Below are 23,928 nucleotides of genomic sequence, written 5' to 3'. Positions count from 1 at the left end.
TCAGAACCTCACCAGAATCTATGGTTTCTTGACTTTTTAATAATCGCCATTCTGACTGGCATGAGATGGTATCTCATTGTGGTTTTGATTTGCATTTCTCTGATGATCAGTGATGTTGAGCTTTTTTTCATATGTCTGTTGGCCATGTAAATGTCTTCTTTTGAGATGTGTCTGTTTATATCCTTTGCCCATTTTTTGATGGGGTTGTTTTTTTGTTGTTGTTGTAAATTTGTTTAAGTTCCTTGTAGATTCTGGATATTAGACCTTTGTCAGATGAGTATATTGCAAAAATTGTTTTCCCAGTCTGTAGGTTGCCTGTTCACTCTGATGATAGTTTACTTGGCTGAGCAGAAGCTCTTTAGTTTAATTAGATCCTATTTGTCAATTTTGGTTTTTGTTGCAATTGCTTTTGGTGTTTTCGTCATGGTCTTTGCCCATGCCTCTGTCATGAATCTGATGTGGGAATTTAATGCTATAAATTTCCCCCTTAACACTGCTTTAGCTGTGTCCCAGAGATTCTGGTACATTGTCTCTTTCTTCTCACTGGTTTCAAAGAACTTCTTGATTTCTGCCTTAATTTCATTATTTACCCAGGAGTCATTCAGGAGCAGGTTGTTCAATTTCCATGTAATTGTGTGGTTTTGAGTGAGTTTCTTAATCCTGAGTTCTAATTTGAATGCACTGTGATCTGAGAGATGGTTCATTATGATTTCAATTCTTTTGCATTTGCTGAGGAGTGTTTTACTTCCAATTATGTGGTCGATTTTAGAATAAGTGCCATATGGCACTGAGAAGAATGTATATTCTGTTGATTTGGGGTGGAGAGGTCTGTAGGTGTCTATTAAGTCCACTTGATCCAGAGCTGAGTTCAAGTCCTGAATATCCTTGTTAACTTTCTGTCTCATTGATCTGTCTAATATTGACAGTGGGGTGTTAAAGTCTCCCACTATTATTATGTAGGAGTCAAAGTCTCCTGGCAGTTCTCTAAGAACTTATTTTATGAAACTGGGTGCTCCTGTATTGTGTGGATATATATTTAAACTAGTTAGCTCTTCTTGTTGAACTGTTGTTTTTACCATTATGTAATGCTCTTGTCTTTTTTGACCTTTGTTTGTTTAAAGTCTGTTTTGTCAGAGACTAGGATTGCAATGCCTGCGGGTTTTTTTGCTTTCCATTTGCTTGATAAATTTTCCTCCATCCCTTTATTTTGAGCCTATGTGTTTATTTGCATGTGAGATGGGCCTCCTGAATACTGCACACTGATGGATTTTGACTCTTTATCCAATTTGCCAGACTGGATTTTAATTGGGGCATTTAGCCCATTTACATTTAAGGTTAATATTGTCATGTGTGAATCTGATCCTGTCTTCATGATGCTATTTGGTTATTTCGCACACCAGTTGGTGCAGTTTCTTCATAGTGTCATTGGTCTTCAGATTTTGGTGTGTTTTTGCAGTGGCTAGTACCAATTTTTCCTTTGCATATTTAGTGTTTCTTTCAGGAGCTCTTGCAAGGCAGGCCTGGTGGTAATGAAATCCTGCAGCATTTGCTTGTCTGGGAAGGATTTTACTTCTCCTTCACGTGTGAAGCTGAGTTTGGCTGGATAGGAAATTCTGGGCTGAAAATTCTTTTCTTTAAGAATATTGAATATTGATCCCCAATTTCTTCTAGCTTGTAGAGTTTCTGCTGAGAGGTCCACTGTTAGTCTGATGGGCTTCCCTTTGTAGGTGACCTGACCTTTCTCTCTGGCTGCCCTTAACATTTTTTTTCCTTCATTTTGACCTTGGAGAATCTGATGATTATGTGTCTTGGGGTTGATCTTCTCACGGAGTTTTTTAGTGATATTCTCTGCATTTCCTGAATTTGCATGTTGGCCTGTCTTGCTAGGTTGGGGAAGTTCTCCTGGATAATATCCTGAAGTGTGTTTTCCAGCTTGTTTCCATTCTCCCTGTCTCCTTCAGGTACTCCAATCAATCGTAGGTTCGGTCCTTTTATGAAGTCCCATATTTCTTGAAGGTTTTGTTCATTCCTTTTCATTCTTTTTCCTCTAGTCTTGTCTGCATGCCTTATTTCAGCAAAGTGGTCTTCAATCTCTGATATCCTTTCTTCTGCTTGGTCAATTCGGTTGTTGATACTTGTGTATGCTTCACGAAGTTCTCATCCTGTGTTTTTCAGTTCCATCAGGTCATTTATGTTCATTTCTAAATGGGTTATTCTAGTTAGCAGCTCCTCTAACCTTTTATCAAGTTCTTAGTTTCTTTGCATTGGGTTAAAATATGCTCCTTTAGCTCAGCGTAGTTTTTTATTACCCATCTTTTGAAGCCCACATCTGTCAATTTGTCCATCTCATCCTCCATCCAGTTCTACGCTCTTGTTGGAGAAACGTTGCAATCATTTGGAGGAGAAGAGGCACTGTATCCTTTTGGGTTTTCAGCGTTTTTTTTGTTGATCCTTTCTCATCTTCACGAGTTTGTCTAGTTTCACTCTTTGAGGCTGCTGACCCTTGGATGGGATTTTTGCGGGGGCTTTTGTTGTTGATGATGCTGTTGCTGTTGCTGTTTGTTTTTGTTTTTCAATAGTCAGGTCCCTCTTCTGCAGGGCTGCTGTGGTTTGCTGGGGGTTCACGTCAGGCCCTATTCATCTGGTCTGCTCCTGCACCTGGACATGTCATTTAGGGAGGCTAGAGAACAGCAAAGATGGGTGCCTACACCTTCTTCTGGGATCTCTGACCTTGAGGGGCACCAACCTGATGCCAGTAGGATTGCTCCTATATAGGGTCTGACAACCCCTGTTGAAGGGTCTCACCCAATTGGGTGGCTCAGGGAACAGGACCTGTTTAATGAAGCACTTTGTCCCTTGGTGGAGGGGGTGTGCTTCACTTGGGGGAAACCCACTCATCTGGGCTGCCCAGATTCCTCAGAACTACCAGGAGGAAAGGCTAAGTTGGCTGGTCCGCAGAGACTGTGGCCACCCCTCCCCCTAGGGGCTCAGGCTCAGTGAGGTCCAGGTTCTGTCCCTGAGCCTCTGGCTGGAGTTACTGGAGTTCCTGAAGGGAAGCTCCACCCAATGAGGAAGGATGGGTCAAGGTCAGGCCTGAAGAAGCACTCTGGCCACTCTGGCCGCAGTCTGCCACAGCTGGTGTGTTGGGCTGTGGGGAACATGTCTTGGGACCAAGCCGTCCACCCTCCCTGGCTCCAGCAGGGGAAAAGCACAGTCTGGAGCTATGGAGATGAATGCCGCCCTTCCCCCAACCCACGGAGCTTAGCGTGTTAAGCAGTTGTGAGTGCCAATGCTGGCTGCTGCCCCTCCCCCAAGGAGCTAAAAAAACAGCTTAGACAGCAGCTGCAGCTGTAGTGCTGGTCGCCCCTCCCCCCAGGACCTCAGTAGGCTTAAGCAGATTCCAGCTGACAGGCTGTTGAGAATCTGCACCGCTCTGTGGTTGGGACGCTAGGCCCTGGTGGTGTGGGTTTGCAAGTGGGATTTTCCACTTGCAAAGTTCCAACTGTGCAACTTGTTGGTTGCACAGTTCCATGGAAAAAGCACGGTACCCTCACTCACCGCCTCCCTTGGCTGGGGGGAGGGGGCTCCCCTGCCCCATGTGGCTCTCAGGTGGGCGGCCCCACACCACGCTGTTCATCCTTCCTTTCCGTGGATCATACCAGCCTCCTAGTCAGATCTCTTAGTAGTAATTTTAAAATTTTTTTTTGAAAAATTAAATACACATATACACAAAATATGATCTTACAGTTTTTCTTAATTTAATATCATGAATAAAATTTTTTGATTTATGAATGTTGAACCAGCTTTTCATTCTTGAAAGGAACTCCAGTTGATTGTAATGTATTATCCTTTTTATTGCAGGATTTTATTTGCTAACATTTTGCTAAGGATTTTTGCATCTATATTAATGAGATATATTTGCAATTTTCTTGTAATATTATCTGATTTTGGTAATTAGGGTAATCTTGGTCTCATAAAATGAATTGAAAAGTTTCCTTCCTTTTGTATTTCTGGACAATATTATGTAGAATTTGTATTATGTCTTCAAATATTTAATATAATTTGCCAGGTGGTTTCACTGGCAAATTGTTTAGAATTTAATTGACAATTTAACGTCTTTAGTAGATATAGAGACAGTCAAGTTACCCCTTTCTCCTTAATTGGATTTTTGCGATTTGTGTTTTTCCAAGAATTGGCTTATTTCATTTCAGTTATAAAATATACAGGTGTAAAGTTGTTTGTAGTATTCCTTTATTATCCTTTCAATATCTATGAATCAGTAGTCATAACCCCTCTTTCATTCTTGATATTAGAAATATATATCTTTATTTTCTTTTTACAGGTTAGTCTGGCTAGAGGTTTACCAATTTCACTGGACTTTTCAAATAACCAAATTTTTGTTTCATTGATTTTCCCTATTTTTTCTGTTCATTGATTTCTGCTATAATTTTTATTGGTTGTTTTCCCTGTTTGCTTTACACTTAATTGTTCTTTTTTCTCCAGCTTACTAAGACTTGATGCCTGGGTAATGGGTTTGTAGATATTTCTACTTTTCTAATATATGTATTCAATGTTATAAATTTCCTTAAGGTGCTGTGTTAGCTGTATCCTATAAATTATAAGTTTTGTTTTAATTTTCATTCAGTTTAATTTTTAAAATTTCATTTGAGACTTCTTTAACCAACGGTTTTTTTTAAAACATATTAAATTTCCACATATGTTGATATTTTCCTATTTTTCATTTATTGATTTCTTAATTTCATTGTGTCTTGAGAATGCATTTTGTATAATTTCCCTAATCCTCTCCATTTAAGTGTTGTGGTTTTTTTTCACTGAGAATATGGGCTATCTTGGTGAATGTTCCATATGTACTTGAGAAGAATATGTAGCCTGCTTTTGTTGAATAAAGTGCTATATAAATACCAATTAGCTCAGTCTGCTTGACGGTGCAGATCAGGTAATATGTATCCTTACTGATTTTCTCCTCACCTTATCTATCTATTATTAATAGAGGGGTATTGGAGTTTCAAACTATAATAGTAGATTTGCCTACCTCTCATTTCAGTTCTATTTGGTTTTGCCTCATCTATTTGATGCTCTGTTGTTAGGTGCATACATACTTGAAATTATGTCTTCCTAGAGAATTGGTCTCTATATCATCATGCAAGATACCTCCTTATACTGATAAATCATCCTTGTTCGAATGTCTGTTTTGTGTGAAACAGATATAGCTATTCCAGCATTCTTTTGATTAGTGTTAGCATGGCATAAGTTTCTCCATCTCTGCTTTTAACCTACTTGAGTCTTTATATTAATATTTAAAATGGTTAGGCAGCATATGATTGGGTCTCTTTTTTTAATCTACTCTGATAATCTCTAACTTTTCATTGTTACAATTAGGCCATTTTTAAGTTGATTATTAACAAAAATCTACTATCTTTCTAACTATTTTCCATTTGTTGCTTTATTCTTTGCTTCTCCCTTTTTTCCCCTTTTCTGCATTCTCTCGTTTTAACTAAGCATTTTATTTGATTCCATTTTATCTCTTCTCTGGGCATATAATTTGTACTTTTTTTTAACTTCTTGAGTGGTTGCTCAAGGGTTTATAATGCACATTTTTAAATAATCTAAATTTATCTTCAAATAATACTTTATATATATTGATGGGTAATGAAGATATCTTAAACAGAATATTTCCAAATTCCCCCTTTCAATTCTTCTGACAATGCTGTTATTCATATTACTTATCCATATGCTATAAACTTCCAATATTATTACTATTGTTGCTTTAAGGAGACTGTTATCTTTTAGATCAATTAAAAATAAGGGAAATTAGTATATTTTATCATCATTTCTTTCTTTTCTGATGCCTTTCCTTTTTAATATAGATCTAAGTTTCTGACCTATATAATTTTCCTTCTGCCTGAAGAATTTATTCTAAAATTTCCTTCAAGGCAGATCAGTTTACAATGAATGCTCTCATTTTTTTGTTAGTCTCAGAAAGCCTTTATTTCTGCTCCACTTTTAAGAAGTGGTCAGCTATAATTTCACTGGTTATAAAATTTTAGGTTGAGTTTTTTTTCAACAGGTTCTTTAAAGAACTTATTTCATTTTCTTGTTGTTTGCATGGTTTCTTATAACAAATCTGCTGTAATCCTTATCTTTGTTCCTTTATAAGTGATGTATATTCTTTCCCTGGTTTTTTTGAAAATTTTCTTTTTGTTTCTCATTTTCTACAATTTGAATATAATACGTATAACTTCTTGGACCTGTATGTTATTGTAGTTTCAATCAATAAAACGTGAAACTTAGAAAGTGCTTGGCTATTATATTTTTTAATATTTTCTATCCATCCATTCTCTTTTTCTTTTTTTTCTGGTACTGTGTATATGTTGTAATTTTTTATATTACCCCACGGTTTTTGGATATTTTATTCCGTATTATTATTATTTCTAATTTTCTCTTTGCATCTGAGTTTTAGATGTTTCTGTTGACCTATACTCAAGTTCCATGATTCTTTAGCTATATTGAGTCTCCTGATGACTCCACTGAAGGTACCCTTCTTTTCTGTTACAGTTTTATTATTATTATTATTATTAGCACCTCTTTTCGGTACATTTTTATAGTTTCAATTTCTCTTCTGACATTGTCTACCTGGCCTTGTATATTATTATTATTATTACTACTATATTATTTTAGCTCTTAACATGGTTATTTAAAAGTTCCTATCTGATAATTCCTACAATTGTGTCATATCAGAGTCTGATTCTGATTATTCCTCTCTTTTTATTTTGCCTTTTCAGATTGTGAAGCTTTTTTTGTTTACTTTGCCTTTGTCATTCTTTGTAATTTCTTGTTGAAAGCCAGCCGTGTTGCCTAGGATAATAGTTATTGAGATAAATAGGACATTAACATGAAGATTTATGGTAAATCTTCATTTAACATATGTTAAATAATCATTATTTAATATATATCAAGATTTATGTTAAACTTGATATGTCTAGGAGTTGAGATATGTTTAATGCTTGTTGTAGCTGTAGCCACTAAAGACTTCAAATGCCTCCAGTAAGTACTTTTGTTGTTGCTTTTAAAAATTTTCCACCCCTCTTTGCTTTTTTTTCACCCCTCTTTTATACAACGTTCTCAGAGAGAGTCTTTATCTCACACCTTGTTCAGCTGTAATCCACTTATTACTGGTGGCTTGTTAGCATGGTGATAAGGTGTAGGAGGAGGGGCATTTTCTCATCTCCTGACTATTTCTCAGTATTTTGGTTGGCCTATGCCTCATGGTATGTTTTGTACAAGTATTTCTCATACACCTCCACCCTCACTCCCTTCTCCAGCTACAGAATTCCACTGAATTCACAGAATTCTTCTAAAAACTAGCATATTTATGGAATGTTATATTATAATGAAAGGACATAGGCTAAAATCAGCCAAGGGAAGAGATACATGGGGCAGAGTCCCAGAGGATTCCAAATGCAGATCTTCCAGGTGTCATTGTCCAGTGGATTCACAAACAGCATAAATTTCTTCAAGGGATGACATGTGTTAAGATAAACATAGTATCTCCAACCAAGAAGCTCACCTGAGCCTGGGGCTTTGGCCACTGGGCGGTTTAATAGCAGTGTGATTTATGATGAGGGCTTTGGGCCATGCAGTATTCACTCTTCCTCCAGAGGAGCTGGAGAGTAAAAGTCAGTGACTTGGGCAGTCAACCCTGTCTTTTTGCTCAAGCACCAATCAGAACCCGGGACAGCAAGACTCAGGTGACTGTCCCTGGTTGTCAATACCCCACAAGCATTGTAACATACCATTCCCAGCAGAAGCTGACATTGTCCATACTCCACCATAAGGACAACTAGAAGCTCCACGTCTGGAAAGCTCTCAACTCCGCTCTGCATCTCCCCCTTGGCCGATGGTAATCTGTATACTTTCACTCAAATAAACCATAACCATGAGTATAACAGTTTTCAGTGAGTTCTGTAAGAACTCACCTAGCAAATTATCAAACCTGAGGGTGACCTTAAGAACCTATAAATTCTGCAGATGGTGCAGAAAGCTGCCTTGTGGACTGCCTCCAACTTTGCAAACACAGGAAAGGAATCAGCCTGCACATGAAGCCCCTGCAGTACTGGGCCAGCCTCCCTGCTCTGCGCTGCAGGGGTGGTGTCCACCTCCAGCTGGGAGGGCAGCAAGAGAAAGGTGTGGACAATGATGCTTCAGAACTGTAATCTCCTCTTCTGCATTCCACTGCAGAAGACAGATTTATATGACAATCCTGGGGTATAAAAAAAGAAAAAATAAACCTTAGAAAATTAAAAAGGATTTTTCCTAAATTAAGACTGACAACATCTCACACATAAAACATACATGTAGAGGTCAGGCACGGTGGCTCATGCCTGTAATCTTAGCACTTTGGGAGGCCAAGGGCAGGCAGATCACCTGAGGTTAGGAGTTCAAGATCAGCCAGGCCAACTAAAAATACAAAAATTAGCCTGTAGCATGGTGGCCCACACCTGTAATCCTAGCTACTTGGGAGGCAGAGGCAGGACAATCGCTTGAACCTGGGAGGCAGAGGTTGCAGTGAGCCAAGATCATGCCATTGAACTCCAGCCTAGGCAACAGAGGGAGACTCCATCTCAAAAAGAAAAAGAAAGAAAGAAGGAAGGAAGGAAGGGAGGAAGGGAGAAAGAAACAGAAAGAAAAGAAAGAAAGGAAAGAAAGAAAGAAAGAAAGAAAGAAAGAAAGAAAGAAAGAAAGAAAAGACAGACAGACAGAAAGAAAGACAGACAGACGTGGAAATACTTTTATCCTATACCTTAAGAAAACATTAATCAATTAAAATGTACATTTTGCTTAATCATCAGATTAAAATTAGAGTTTAAACCATAGAAAATTTTAAAGAAATAGTCATGTCAACAACTCCTCTCCAACCCAGAACTATAGACATACCCACTTCCCACTGTGAGTGAAGGTAAGGGGTGATATGAGATTGCAAAAAAAAAAAAAAAAAAAAAAAAAAAAACCAGACTGAAGAACCCAGAAGAAAAAAATGGCTGAAATACAGGGAACATAACAAGAAAAGAAGAAACACTGCCTAGTCTAGGAATGGACGTCACCGCATACTTTTCAGCCAAGCCCAGACAGTCCCAGAATCGTTCTCAACACAGCACCCCAGTTGCTACAAATAGATAGATCACGAAATTCCTTCACCACTCCAAAATTAAATTAACCATGAACAGCACATGGACTGTGGACCCATGGCATAAAAGGCCAGAGTGAGCTCCATTAGTTCATGCCTGACACTGTGCTAGGTACATTTAAGTACATTGTTTAGCATCCTCAGACTGACGCTCCTTTTGTAATGAGGAAAGCAAGATATAGAGGGGGAATCTGACAAGTCAATGTCACACCACTCAAGCTTTACTGGTACGTAGCTACACTCATCATTTCTATATTGTTCACAGCTGCTTTTGCACTAAACAGCAGAGTTGAGTAGTTGTGACAGAGACAGGAAGGCCTGCAAAGCTTAAAATATATACCATCTGGTCCTTTTCAGAAAAAGTGTGCTGACTCCTGGTCTAGAAAATTTTTCACTATAGTTTTAAAGTTCCAGAATAAATAAGTACTGTTACATATACTTTCTATTTAGCACTATTTTAAATTAAGGTTGCCAATGATCCACTTCATACTTTGTGAGAATAAAAAACAAAATGTAATATGACTTTCTTTGCCAATCATTCGACCCATGACTTCATTTCCAGAAAAATAGAATTCTGCATCCCAAGAGCATTTGGCATATGACAGCTCCAGAAATCAAAAAGAAAAATATCAATACGTTTCAGGCAGTCTTCTTTTGCGGACTAGTTGGGAAGCATTTTATTATATTTATATTTATATTATATTTGTAAATAAAATAATAGTGACCATGAATTGAGTGCATACAATGTGCTCGAAACATACTAAATGCTTCACAGTATTTTTCTATCCTCAAAACAACACAATGACATAAGTGCTTTTCCTTTTTTACAGAAGAAGAAACTGAGGCCTAGAAATGTGAAAAAATTTGCCCGAAAACACTCATGAAAAGCAAGAACCCATAGTCACACTCAGGGCTGGGGGACTCCAAAGTTGGTGCTCTCTCCCAGCATGCAGAACAAGGATTCTAGGCTGGAAGCTGAGAAGCAAGAAAAGGGAGGAAGAGTGAGCCTCAGCTGGGCACTGACACATGACTGGCACTAGAGCTGGCACCTGACACATGACATCTTCACATCACACTCTTCCTTCACTTAGATGGAGAAATAAGGTCTGGAGAGGTTGATAAAGCTTCCCCGAACTGTTCCCATTCATGGTACCTCTTTCCTTGCCTCTGTGTTACTGATCTGAGCCATCCATGTTAACATCACACAAAATTCAATGACTCTACACCAGCGGTCCAGGATGATGACATGAGGTGTCACTGGGGGGGGTAGTTCTTGCTACTGAGATCCATCCTCTCCCACAGCAGCACATCACTCATAATATCACAGTCTTTATTTTCAACAACCCCACTGACCCCAGAGACAAAGCATGTCCCATGTAGAGCTGGGAAAAGGTTTAATACTGATAGGGAGGGAAAAGTTCACATGATAATTCAGCCAAGAAACTGAGCTGGCCATTCTGGCCTCTGTTCTCTTGCTGTGAACTTGAGCTCCCATAGCCAAGTACAACTCAGGGTGGCCATGTCCAGAGCGTGTTAAGGGCCTTTCATTCCATTTCCTCGTCAGTATCCCGGGAAACGGGCAGTAAACACCAAAACAACAGGACAAGGAAATAAAATCTTAAGCAATTAATTATTATAAGATTTCCACACAGGTTCCAAGAATGAGGAATAACAAGAATAAGTAGGCTGGATAAACATGGTTTTATATGGATTTTATTCTTCCAAATGTCTTCTATGTACAAACTCCAAGTGGAACCTAAAACTTAAAAAACAGAGCTGTTTAACAACACTGTCATACTAGAAGCTTATGAAGGGGCTGCAGCCCAGCCTGGCCAACCAGGCCTGGCACCCGAGGGGTCCCTCATTGAGCAGAAGGGGCTCTGGGGCTTGTGTAAAAGGCAGGGTGCAGAGGATACAAAAGCCCACCTCACGCACCTCTTTCTACATCCATGCTATTTCTCCCTTTGTAAGCTGGGTCTGCCTTGATAATTTTAAAAGGAAACACAAGCAAGGAAACTTTTATCTCCACAATTTTGCAGTATATAAAAAAGCTGTTTCCCTATTTGGTTAAAAAAATAATTTACAAATCCCTTGAAAATCCTCAATAACAGTTTCAAGAGGCTGTGTTGTTATCCTTGCTTTCTGAAAAATAGTCAATGTGACATCAAAAACAAGAGAATATATCTCTCCTGGCCTCAGTTCAAGTAACTCTTCCCTAAGAGCGGATCTGTTTATCTTTGAGTGACATGATAGTCATGTCAAAACCACAAAGTGAAGTAGACCATCAACATGATTACTAGTTGATTCAAACCAAAAGGCCAGGAAAGCACCAATGGCATGGCTCCATTGGACTATAGTAGTCTATTGTGCTTCTCTGATAATTTATCACTCAGATTTTCACCTTGGTTTACCACTGTGATTCATCTATTTCTTCATTCAACATACGTTTACTAAGTATGGCCAATATCCCAAACACAGTACTGAGCACTGAGGACACAATTCAAAGATAACAACTGGACACAAGAGAAATCTGCAGTCAAACAAGGACCCTAGAAGCACAGTGGGATACAGCACACTGGGATCAGCCCTGCAAACACAGCATGCCCAGGGAGCCAGGGGCACCCTGAAGGCACAGCCCAGCCTGAGGGGTGCAGAGAAGCCTTCCTGGAGCATTTAAGAATGCCCAAGTGAATTCCTGAGAAAGGAATCGAAGTTATCTCCATGGAGACCAAGGAAATGGCATCCTGACAAGAAGTACAGCTGAAGGCCCTGAGTGGTGACAGCCTGTATCAGTCTGCTCAGGCTGCTGTAACAAACACCACAGCTTGTGCAGCTCAAACAACAGAAATGTATTCTCTCACCATCCTGAAGACTGGAAGTCTGAGATCAAGGTGTTCTCAGGGCTGGTTTCTCCTAAGGCCTCTCTCCCTGTTTTGTAGATGGGGCATCTTCTCCCTGTGTCCTCATGTGGTCATTTCTCTGTGTGCGTGTGAGTCCTAATTTCCTCTTCTTAATAGAACACCAGTAATATTGGATCAGGACCCACCCTAAGTACCTCATTTTATCTTAATTGGTAAATCTAGGTGTATTCTGGGCTCCTGGGGGTTAGGAGTTCAATATATGAAATTTGGGGTGACAGGATTTGGCTCATAACACAGACTTACAAGAGTTCAATACAAAAGGCATGTGATAGCAGAATGGAAGGTGGTGAGAGGCGGCTCTTCATGCCCCTGACCACTGAGAGGAGAGGAACCCAACCACAGCCCCACACACTTGCTGTGTAAGCATCTGAATGGCTGGTGGCCTTAGAGACCACAGTGGGAACCACCCACGGCACAGGGAGTACATGTGGCATGAGAAGGACTTTCTAATCCACGTGGGGTGTCCCTGGGGCAGTGCCTGACCACAGGCCACATAACAAGGTATGTGATGGAATGCAGGTATGTTTGGCACCAAAGCCTGTGTTCCGTCACACACAGGTGCTGAGAAGGTGCATATCTTAGCCTGGGCTCCCATAACAAATTACCTGGGCACCCTAAACAGCCAACATTTGTTCCTTACTGTTCCAGAGGCTGGAAGTCCAAGATCAGGGAACCAGCCAACTGGTTCCCTAGTGGGGGCTCCTTTCCTGGTTTGCACACAGCCACCTGCTACCTCTGTCCTCACAGGTGAGAGAGGGGAAGCTCTGGTGTCTCTTCCTCTTCTTGTAAGGACACTAATCCCATCATGGAGGTCCTTAGGACTTCATCTAACCCTAATTATCTCCCAAAGGCTTCACCTCCAAATACCATCACAGAGGCAGTTAGGGCTTCAACATATGCATTTCAGGGGGTCACAATCCCACTTACAGCAGGATGTGAGGCCAGGGACAGGCAGCCTGCACATCCTGGGGCAGACTAAGATGCCTGACACAGTGAGGGAGAGAAGGTTCACCCCAACCCTGGGTGCTGAATCCATGCCGGCTTCCAAGGCCAACAGGTCGCATACAGCATTTCATTCTATCCTCAGAGTGTCCAGGCAACTAAGTTAAACATTTTCTTCTTGAGCTACAGGGCAAGATCCTTGATGAGCTGTCTCTTGCCCCAGTCTTAATTCGTCCAGGTTCCCCTGTAACTCTCTGATGATTAATTAGCACCCATGTCCAACATTTTGCCTCGTATACCAAAGTAAAGTCTTACTGCAGTCATTTGACTCATTTTAAATTTTATGGTACTGGTATGTATCAGTGGGGAGGGAGGAATACAGAAAGTGTTCTCATTAACAGTTTGTCCTTTTTACTTCTTGCCCACACCCCTTGAAAACAAGAGCAGGTGTATGTTTTCTCATGCAACTCCTGAGAAAATGCTTTGAAAATTTAGTATCCCCTGATCTTGGATGGCAGAGGTATCTGAAAGGGAAGGATTTGGAGATCAGACTAAACTAAAAAATAACTTTATTTTATCAAAGCAGACACAACTGCTCTTAGCTCTCAGCTACAAAGGGAGAATGCCCAGACTCCGCCTCTACCCCAGGAAACACAGTGTGGCCTTCCAGCCCCAAAACAAGACAGCCAAGTGAGAGCTAGCTGAGACAGTGGGGCTCTGACCTGCTTCTCCCCAAGGAGTGAAGATATTTATTTGACGTTCTTGTTGAAAGATCATATATACATATGAACCAACTAGTTTTTCTTTGTCAGATATTGCAGAAAATACAGGACGCCTCCCCATATGTTACCACAGTTCTCCCCAAAAAGGCAGGTGTACAGGCTGGAGAAGTCAAAAGGCAGCGGCAGGCACACCATGCAATTCAAATAGTGCACCAGCTCCAGGTCCCAGTCAACTGAGTCAAAAAGTGGCTCCATTTAGCTTCTTCAAACAGGAGAACTTCATGCTGTCATATCCCTTTCTCATATACATGCAGGTTCTGAAAGATTCTTCGCATCTGCCAAGATCCTCACCTGATTTAAAAAGGAAATTGCTTCTAGAGACGAAAATCAAATTCATCATTTTTGCAGCTATTAAAAGAAAGAGGAAGTCAACTTCAGTTCTAAATAGGGCCTGAAGCAAGGCTGGTGGAAGCATTTGTCCATCTTTAGTCTATTCATTAATTCATCTGTCCATTCATTTGCTTAAATCACTTACTTTTAGCTGCTGGGTTTCCCTGAGTGACCACAGGAAATCCAAGACTCCCGTTCATCCCTCACCCCATGGCCTACCCATGCATCACCCTTTCTGAGTCAGCTCACACCCCTCCCTGACTCAAGTCCTTCACAGTCTTTCTTCTGTCCTTCTTCCTGGATGTGCTCCAGCTGACTCCACATGTACCCCTAGGACTCATTTCCTGGCATCCTTCTCAGGTGTTGCTGTTTTCTTTTAAGGCTTCAATCTGTTGGGCCTCAATGTGGGCTAAATACCCTTCTTGCTCATTGAAATCTCCAGAACATTATCCACCTCTCTTCCCTTTAACCTCCCATCAGACCCTACCACCATGTGCCTGGCACAGAGCAGACATTCAATACTTTTTTATCAAATTAATGATTGTCATCTGTTACCGCCCTCTTCCCACCCCACATGTGCAGTAATCTCTAGACCGCTGGTCTTCCTCTTCATTCCTTGATCATGGGTCACTAGGATCTCTGCAATCACTCCTGCCACAGTTTTTGATGATTTTAATACACACAAGAGAGCTCCTTGCAGGGCCTAGCTTTCCCCTTCATTTATTGCATCATCTCCAGATGAGTCTGTCCTCTGCCCCACCTCAGCCACCCACCCCTCCCATGGCCACCCCAAGACCTTAGCATGACCAAATGAACACAGCACCTCCATTCACTCAATCTCAAACATTCCACCCTCCCATCTCTTTCAAATGTCCAGCTCCCTTCCTCCAGTACTTCTAGTCTGACAATACTGTGACTCCTGTTATGATGTCTTATTCATGGATCTGAACATATCACATCAAGTCCTTATTTCCACCTGCCCCTGCTTAAATTGCATGGTACACCATTATGATCATGCCCTTGCAAACATCCCAGCTACCTGGCTTGCTGCCTCTATCAAATCACCCTTGCAAAATAAGTAACTTCCCCTAGGCCATGCCACCCCATAACCTTAATTGGAGAAAAATATACAACCATACTGTCTCAATTCATGTTATATTAGTGACCAAGTGAGCAATAACCAAGCAATCCTATTTTATTTCCCTAGTCCAGATGAGCTCCCACTGTACCTGGGAGATTCTCACACCTTTTCTTTTCTCTTGAAACCCACAGCAACCCCTTCATTGATGACAGTGCTTCCCAGTGCAAGTAGAAGCAAGGCCAAGAGAACTTTCAACTGCTTTCCTCACAACAGTTAACCAGCCAAGTGTAATCTGACTCTAAAGTCTGGCTTCATTCATCTTACTCAACAAATATTTATCGAAGAATACACTAAGTGCTATAAATTCTCTAGTGAAGTGAGCAGGGTGTGGGAAGACAGAAATCCCTACTTTCATTGAGATTGTGTATCAGTTTACTATTGCTGCTGTAACAAATCACCACATATTCAGTGGCTTAAATCAACACGAATGTATTATCTTACAATCCTGGAGATCAACAGTCCAAAATGTATCTTAAAGGGCTATAATCAAGGTGTTGGCATGGCAAGTTCCTTCAGGAGTTTCCAGGGAAAATTGGTCCCTTAACTCCCCACATCTAGAGGCCATGGCATTCCTTGGCTCCTGGTCACATCACTCGACTCTCATCTTCCATTATCACTTTGCTTTCTACCCTTCAGTTTATCTATTTTTGTTATTCCTCATCCTTTTGGTGTCATATCTAAGAAATTAATATCATGAAGATTTAGTTGTATGTTTTCCTCTAAGAGTTTTATAGTTTTAGTTCTTATATTTAAGTATTTTATTCATTTTTGGTGAATTTCTGTATATAATTTGAGGAAAAGGTTTGACTTCATTTTTTTACATGTGGATACACAGTTTTCCCAGCACCATTTGTTGAAAAGATTGTCCTTTTCCCCATTGAATGGCTTTTGTGCCCTTGTCAAAAATCAATTGTCTGTGTATGTGAGAGTTTACTTCTGGAATATCTATTCAAATCTATTGGTCTGTATGTCTGTCTTTATACAAGTACCTCACTGTTTTGATTACTGTATCTTTGTGATAAGTTTTGAAATCAGGAAATGTGAGTTGTCCACATTTATTCTTTTCAAGATTGTTTTGGCTATGCAAGGTCCCTTAAGATTTCATATGAACTTTAGAATGGGTTTTCTATTTCCACAAGAAAAAAAAAATTGTTGGATTCAATCTGTAGATTGCTTTGATTAGCAAAGCAAATCGAGTAGCATTATCACCTTAACAATATTAAATCTTACACCATGAACACATTCCATTGATTTATGACTTCTTTATTTCAGCAATGTTTTGTAGTTTTCAGTACGTCTTTAATTTCCGATTAAATTCCTACATATCTGTTCTTTCAGATGCTACTATAAAAAGAAAGTTTTAAAAAACTTGTCCTATTGCTTATTTCTAGTGTATAGAAACACAACTGATTTTGTTTATTGTTTTTTTGTCCTACAACTTTGCTTAATTCATTTATTAGCTCTAATAGTTTTGTTATTAAATCCTTAGAGCTTTCTACACATAAGACCAGGTCATCTGTGAATGGAGAACTTCTCTCTTTTCAATTTGTAAGATTTTCATTTATTTGACTTCTCTAATTGCTCTGGCTAGAATTTCTACTACTATATTGAGTAAAAATAGCGACAGTAGGAATCCTGCTCTCGTTCCCATTGTTAAGGGAAAGCTTTGAGTCTTTCAATATTGGGTGTGATGTTAGCTGTGGGTTTTTCATATATCACCTTTATCGTGTTATGGAAGATATCTTTTATTCTTCATTTACTGAGTGTTTTAAAAGAATGTTGAACTTTATCAAATGATTCCTCTGCATCAACTGAAATGTTCGTATATTTTGGGGTCTTTTTTCTCCCTTCATTCTATTCATGTGGTTTCTTACATTGAGTGATTTTCATACGTTGAACCATTCTTGCATTACTGAGATAAATCCCATTTGTCATGGAGTATGATCCCTTTAATATGCTGCTGTATTCAGTTTGATAGGATTTTATCAAGAGGCTTTGCATCTATACTTAAAAGAGACAATCTTGTAATGTCTTTGTCTGGCTTTGTATCTACGTAATGCCAGCCTCATACAATGAATTATGAACTATTCTCATCTCTTCAATTTTATGAAAGAGTTTGGCAATGATTGGTATAAATTTTCATTAAAGGACTGATAGAACTCATCAGTGAAGCTGTCTGATACTGAGCTTTTCTTTTTTGTAAGATTTTTGATTACAGACTCAATCTCTTTACTCACTATTGGTCTGTTTAGATTTTCTATTTCTTCATGATTCAGCGTTGGTAGGTTGTATGTTGTAGGAATTCATCAATTTCCTGTAGGTAATCCAATTTGTTGGCATATAATTGTTCATTAGTAGTTTCTTTTGATCCTTTGTATTTCTATGGTATCAGTTATAATGTCTATGATTTCATTTTTAATTTTATTTATTTTAGTCTTCTATTATTAGTATAGCTAAAGGTTTGTCAAATCTGGTAATCTTTTTAAAGAACCAAATTTTAGGTTCATTGATACTCTCTCTTGTTTTTCTATTCTCTATGTCATTTATGTTTCCTCTAATCATTATTTCCTACCTCCTTCATGCTTTGGCTTTAGACTGCTTTTCATTTTCTAGTTATGTAAGATACACAATTAGATTTTCTATTAATATCATTCTTCTTTTTTAATGTGTTTAGAGCTTAAATGTTCCTTCTGACCACTGCTTTTATTGCATTCATAAATCTTGAATATTGTATTTTATTTTTATTCATTGTAGAGTATTTTCTACACTTCACGGTGCCGGGACCTGGGCTGGAGGGCAGGGCATCAGTTATGGAGTAACCTGAGCAGGACCCCACCTCAGACGATGCCACGGACTTGTTCCTGGAAAAGTTCCAGAGCCAGCCTTACCGTGGCGGCTTTCATGAGGACCAGTGGGAAGAGGAATTTGAAAAGGTCCCCCTGTTTATGAAGAAAGCGCCATCAGAAATTGATCCCAGGGAGAATCCTGACTTGGCTTGTCTCCAGTCAATTATTTTTGATGGGGAGCATTCTCCAGAACAGGCCAAGACCTATAAAGATGAGGGCAATGATTATTTTAAAGAAAAAGACTACAAGAAAGCTGTAATTTCCTACACTGAGGGATTAAAGAAGAAATGTGCAAATCCTGATTTGAGTGCTGTCCTTTATACCAACCGGGCAGCAGCACAATACTATCTGGGCAATTTTCATTCTGCTCTCCGTGATGTGACAGCTGCCAAAAAGTTAAAACCGTGCTACCTCAAAGCAATAATAAGAGGTGCCTTATGCCATCTGGAACTGAAACACTTTGCCAAGGCTGTGAACTGATGTGATGAGGGACTGCAGATAGATGCCAAAGAGAAGAAGCTTCTGGAAATGAGGGCTAAAGTAGACAAGCTGAAGCTAATTGAACAGAGGGATGTGAGGAAAGCCAACTTGAAAGAAAAGGAGAGGAATCAGAATGAAGTTTTACTCCAGGATACCAAGGCTAGGAATATCAGGCTCTCTGAAGCTGCCTGTGAGGATGAAGTTTCAGCCTCAGAAGGTCTAGGTGAGCTTTTCCTGGATGGACTCAGCTCTGAGAACCCCCATGGAGCCAGACTGAGTCTAGATGACCAGGGCAGGCTGAGCTGGCCTGTGCTCTTTCTGTACCCAGAGTATGCCCAATCGGATTTCATCTCTGCTTTTCATGAGGACTCCAGATTTATTGATCATCTAATGGTGATGTTTGGTGAAACACCCTCTTGGGACCTAGAGCAAAAATATTGCCCTGATAATTTGGAGGTCTATATTGAGGATGAGGACAGGGCAGAACTGTACTGGGTGCCTGCCAAGAGCACCTTGCTGCAGGATCTACAGCACCACAGGCACTTTGTAAAAGCCCTGACACCAGCATTTTTGGTCTGTGTAGGATCCAAACTTTTTTGAAAGAATTATCTCTGGGGGAGAAAGGTGCACCAGGTAAGATGACTGAGCCAGGCCCCCTGGATCTCCTCCCTCACCCTCCTCTGCTGGGAACCTAGCATGCCTGAATCAGTCCAGTGCCTTATTTCTGTCACCCTGGGGATAGACCTTCCTAGTATCATGGTGGGGGAGGAGCCTCTGGATTCCCTGAACTGCAGCCTCTCTGGCTGGTCTTCACTTTCTTCAGTTGATATAAAACTCTGTGCCTTGGCCATGACATCCCTGGACTCCATCTCTAAAGGGACCATCTGCTGCAGTTACCACAGCAACTGACCTGACTGGCACCCTGGTCTGTGGAGACGGACTAGGGATCCAGTGACATGATTCTGAACTTTCGTGGAGTTCAACACCTTGTTACAGAAGCTACCCTTCAAACTGCATATCTACACACAAACAAACTATGCGTAGGATTCCAAGGCTTTAAAGCTGAGAGACCCTGACCTCAAGTTATTTCATGAGCACAGAGGGGAGCCATGTGGGGTTGCTGTAGATGCCTTGAGGTGAAATTGGGGCAGGAAAGCCACATCCTGCTCTGCATTTATAAAGACCATACAAACGGAGATCCTTGGTACCCCTAAAAAGATTGCCAGTTTTCTTCATCTTTGCCATATGGAGGACTGTGACAGACTTGGACAGTGGCCTCTGAGTTCCTCTGCAGTTTCACATTTTAGGATTCTGTGTCTTTTAAACTGGAAAATCTTCTAGTATGTTGGGTTGTTGTTATAAGGTATACTTTTGTCTGCAGCTGTTTGTTGCCTGCTTCCTAAGAGGGGTTTATCCATCCTGAAAAAAAAAAACAGTATTTTCTAAATTCTTCTTTGACTTAGAGCTTATTTATGAGTATGTTGTTTAATTTCCACATATTTCTGAGTTTTCCAGCTATCCTTCTGTTACTGGTTTCTGGTTTCATTCCTTCGTAGTCAGAGAAAATACTTTGTATGAGTTCAACCTTTTAATATTTACTGTGACTTGTTTTGTGGCCTAATATAAGATTTAGCTTGGAGAATGTTACATGTGCACTTGAGAAGAATGCATATTCTGGTGTTTGTGGTAGTGGAGTGTTATTTATATGTCTACTAATTCCAATTGTTTATAGTGTTGTTTAAGTCCTCTATTTCCTTACTGACATTTTGTCTATTTGTTCTATTCATTATTGAAATTTGGATATTAAAGTCTCCAAATATTATTGTAGAATTTTTTTTCTCAGTTTATTTCTGTTAATTTTTGTTTCATGTGTCTTGGGGGTTCTGTTTGATGTTCAGGTATGTTCATCATTGTCATATATTCTTGATGGATTAACCTTTTTTGAATACACAATTTTCTTGTCTTCTATGATACATTTTAAAGTCTAGGCAGCACATTCAGCAGTCCTGTGGATCTGTCTCTTGCTTCAACAGTGTTTGGATGGAACAGATCCAGGAACTCTCTTTCTTCCAGTCTCCAGCTACCTTCCAATCTTCTCTCCATTTTCAACCTTCGGGAACATCTTCTCGGTCATCTCCTGCTTCTGGGACCAGCCAACACCATTTTTGTAGTTAGCTCCTTCTTGCTAACCATGAGCTCCCAGATTTATCAGAATTATTCCATTGAGGTGGAGGCAGCCATCAACCACCTGGTCAATTTGTACTTGTGGATCTTCTAAACCTATTTCTCTCTGGGCTTCTATTTTGACCATGATGATGTGGCTCTGGAAGGCATGGGCCACTTCTGCAAATCAGCTGAGGAGAAGCATGAGAGCACCGAGCATCGCTCAAAGATACAAAACCAGTGTGGCAGCATGCTGTCTTCCAGGACATCCAGAAACCGGCTCAAGATAAGTGGGGTACAACTTTGGATGCCATGGAAGCCACAATGCCCTTGGAGAAAAATCTGAACTAGGCCATTTTGGATCTTCATGCCCTCAGTTCTGGCTACACAGATCCCCATCTCTGTGACTTCCTGGAGAGTCACTTCCTAGATGAGGAAGTTAAACTCATCAAGAAGATGGGTGACCACCTGACCAACCTCCACAGGCTGCACAGGCTGGCTGGCCTGGAGGCTGGGCTGGCGAGTATCTCTTTGAAAGGCTCACCTTCAAGTACAACTAGGAGCCTACTGAGCCCAGGGACTTCTGGGGGGCCCCTTGCAAAGTAACAGGGCTTCTGCCTAAGCCTCTCCCTCCAGCCACTGGGCAGCTTTTTAACTACCCTGGAGCACTCTCCCAAGCCTTGGATCAAATTAAAATAAAGCTTTTGGAAGCAAAAAAACGAAATTTAAAGTCTATTTTGTCTAATAATAGTGGAGACGTTCCAGATCTCTTTTGATTAGTAGTTGCATGAAGTATCTTATCTGTCCTTTTATTTTCAGCATTTTTGTGTCTTTATAGCTAAAATAAGTCCCTTTTAGATAGTATATAGTTGGATCACGTTTTTTAATACATACTGAAAATCTCTGCCATTTAATTGAATAGTTTGATTCATTTATATTTAAAGTAATTACTGTCAAGGAAAGGCCTCCTTCTCTCATTTTGCTATTTATATTCCATAGATTTTGTATATGTTTTTCTCAATTCCTTCATTATGGATTTGTTTTTTGTGTAATTGATTTTTTCTAGTCCATTTTTGTTCAATTCCTATTTTCTTTTCTGCATAGTTTTTAATTATTTTCTTCACTTTTTTATTTTCTTTATTTTCTACCGCACAATCTGGAGATTGTAATTAACATATTAAATTTATAACAATGTAGCTTGAATCAATACCCTCTTAGCCTGAATTGTGTACAAAACCTCTGCTATTATACAGCCTCATCCATCTCTTTATGTTATTATTGTCACAGATTTTGTCTTTACACATTGAGTGCCCATTAACACAAATTTATATTATTTTTGGCATTTGAATTTTAAACCATATAGGGGAAAAAAGAAAAAGAAAAGAGAAGTTACAAACCAGAAATACAATAATATTAGCTTGTATATTTATCTCTGTAGCTGCCTTTACTGGTCTTCTTTAATTCTTCATACAGCTTTGAGTTACTGTCTGGTGTCCTTTTATTTCAACCTCAAGGAATACCTTCAGCATTTCTTGTAGGACAGGCCTACTAGTGATGAACTTCTTCAAAGTTTATTTATCTGGGAATGTCTTTATTTCTTCTTCATTGATTAGTTTTGCCAGACAGAATTCTTGGTTAACAGTTTTTTTTCTATCAGCACTTTAAATATATTGTCCCACTTCCTTCTGCCCTTCATGCTTGCTGATGAGATGTTGACTCTTATTCTTATTTAAGATTCCTTGTACAAAAACATGACAAGTTGCTTCTTACTTCCTGCTTTCAAGATTCTTTTTTGGCTTTTCCTTTTGAAAGTCTAATTATAACGCGTAATGGAGTCTTTGTGCTTTTTTGGTTAAAAGTCCATTGAGATTCCCTGATATGCTGATTTATGTTATTTCTCACATTTGAAAAATTTGGACCATTATTTCTTGAAATAACTTTTCTGCTTCTTTCTCTCCTTCTTCTAGGATTTCCATTATGCATATAATGGTACACTTCACAGTGTCCCACAGGTCTCTTAAGGTATGTCCATTTTTCTTCATTTCTTTCCACTTCTGCTTCTCAAATTGAATAATCTACATTGAGCTATCTTAAGTTTAGTTTGAAATTTTGAGGATGCTTTCTTCTTTCTGTTCAAATTTTATGCTGAATCTCTCTAGTGAAGCTTTAATTTCAGATTGCATTTTTTAGCTCCAGAATTTCTGTTTGGTCTATTCTTATATTTTCTATCTTTGTTGGTAATCTCTATTTGTCTAGGCATCATATTTATGGTCTCCTTTGTCTATGGTTTTTCTTTATCTCTCTAAGCATATTTAAGATGGTTGATTTAAAGTCTTTTTATAGTAAATCCAATGTCTGTGTTTTCTTAGGGACAGTTTTGGTTCATTTATTTTTTCCTGTGAGTGGGTCATACATTCTTGTTTCTTTGCATGTGTTGTAAATTTTTGATAATTGAACATTTTTAATATCATAATCTGTAACTCTAGAAATCATAATCTTCTTCTCCCCAGGATTTGCTGTTGCTACTTGTAGGTTGTAGTTGTTTAGTGACTCTTCTAAATTCTTTTTATAAGACTGTTTTCTCTGTTATGTGTAGTCACCAAAGTTCCAGTTCTGTTAACTTACTGGTCAGCTGGTGATTTAACAGAGGTTTTCTTAAATGCCTAAACCCAATGTAACAAAAAATACTTCAAGTCTTTGTGGACTGGCTACGTGTTTGAGCATTCCTTTAATGCTTAGCTAGGCCATTTACATTTGCTTAATGTCCACTTTCAGCTTCACGGGAGCCTAAAGACAGGAGCCAGAGATGAAAGTTCATGGTGTTCTCCAGTCTTTTCTGAGCATGTCTAGTCCTGGGCATTTGTGTGGACTTCCAGGTTATCCAATTATGTGGAATCTATTAAAATACTTATTCTCACATTTATATTCTTTCCCTGACTTTTCCTAACCTTTCTAGTCTGTCTGCTGCTTTTGCTATCTGTTATAACCTTCCCCAGGCAGCAGCAGTGAGTATGTTTGCCTTAAATGATTTCTTTAAATGCCACTCAGGAGGCTGCTTCAGGCCTGAGAAAGTTCAGAGGCATGTGAAACATAGGGAATTCCCTCACCAATCACTCGG

The 23,928-nt window shown here is 39.5% G+C and overlaps 1 long non-coding RNA gene and 2 pseudogenes across 1 annotated transcript in view, besides 2 other annotated features; all 3 read left to right on the top strand.

Moving 5' to 3' along the window:
* Nucleotides 1–23,928, top strand: part of LOC105375264 (uncharacterized) — a 32,395-nt gene that overhangs the window by 5,513 nt on the left and 2,954 nt on the right. The window contains exon 2 of the long non-coding RNA XR_001745204.2: nt 22,778–22,832. This is a non-coding gene — a long non-coding RNA (uncharacterized LOC105375264). The remainder of the gene's footprint in view (nt 1–22,777; nt 22,833–23,928) is intronic.
* Nucleotides 2,438–3,208: an enhancer, noted in NCBI's record as "OCT4-NANOG-H3K27ac-H3K4me1 hESC enhancer chr7:46055301-46056071 (GRCh37/hg19 assembly coordinates)". NCBI's record gives its function as "activates a minimal SCP1, AML or CMV promoter by ChIP-STARR-seq in naive H9 embryonic stem cells {active_cell/tissue: H9 hESC(naive)}" and the evidence as "EXISTENCE:reporter gene assay evidence [ECO:0000049][PMID:30033119]".
* Nucleotides 3,209–3,979: an enhancer, noted in NCBI's record as "OCT4-NANOG-H3K27ac-H3K4me1 hESC enhancer chr7:46054530-46055300 (GRCh37/hg19 assembly coordinates)". NCBI's record gives its function as "activates a minimal SCP1, AML or CMV promoter by ChIP-STARR-seq in naive H9 embryonic stem cells {active_cell/tissue: H9 hESC(naive)}" and the evidence as "EXISTENCE:reporter gene assay evidence [ECO:0000049][PMID:30033119]".
* Nucleotides 18,089–19,397, top strand: TTC4P1 (tetratricopeptide repeat domain 4 pseudogene 1; annotated as a pseudogene).
* FTLP15 (ferritin light chain pseudogene 15) lies at nt 20,636–21,523 on the top strand (annotated as a pseudogene).

The sequence above is a fragment of the Homo sapiens genome, chromosome 7 (assembly GCF_000001405.40).
Source record: "Homo sapiens chromosome 7, GRCh38.p14 Primary Assembly".
NCBI lineage: Eukaryota > Metazoa > Chordata > Mammalia > Primates > Hominidae > Homo > Homo sapiens.
The sequence above is the reverse complement of the archived record's forward strand: the minus strand, read 5'-3'. Positions and strand labels throughout refer to the sequence as shown.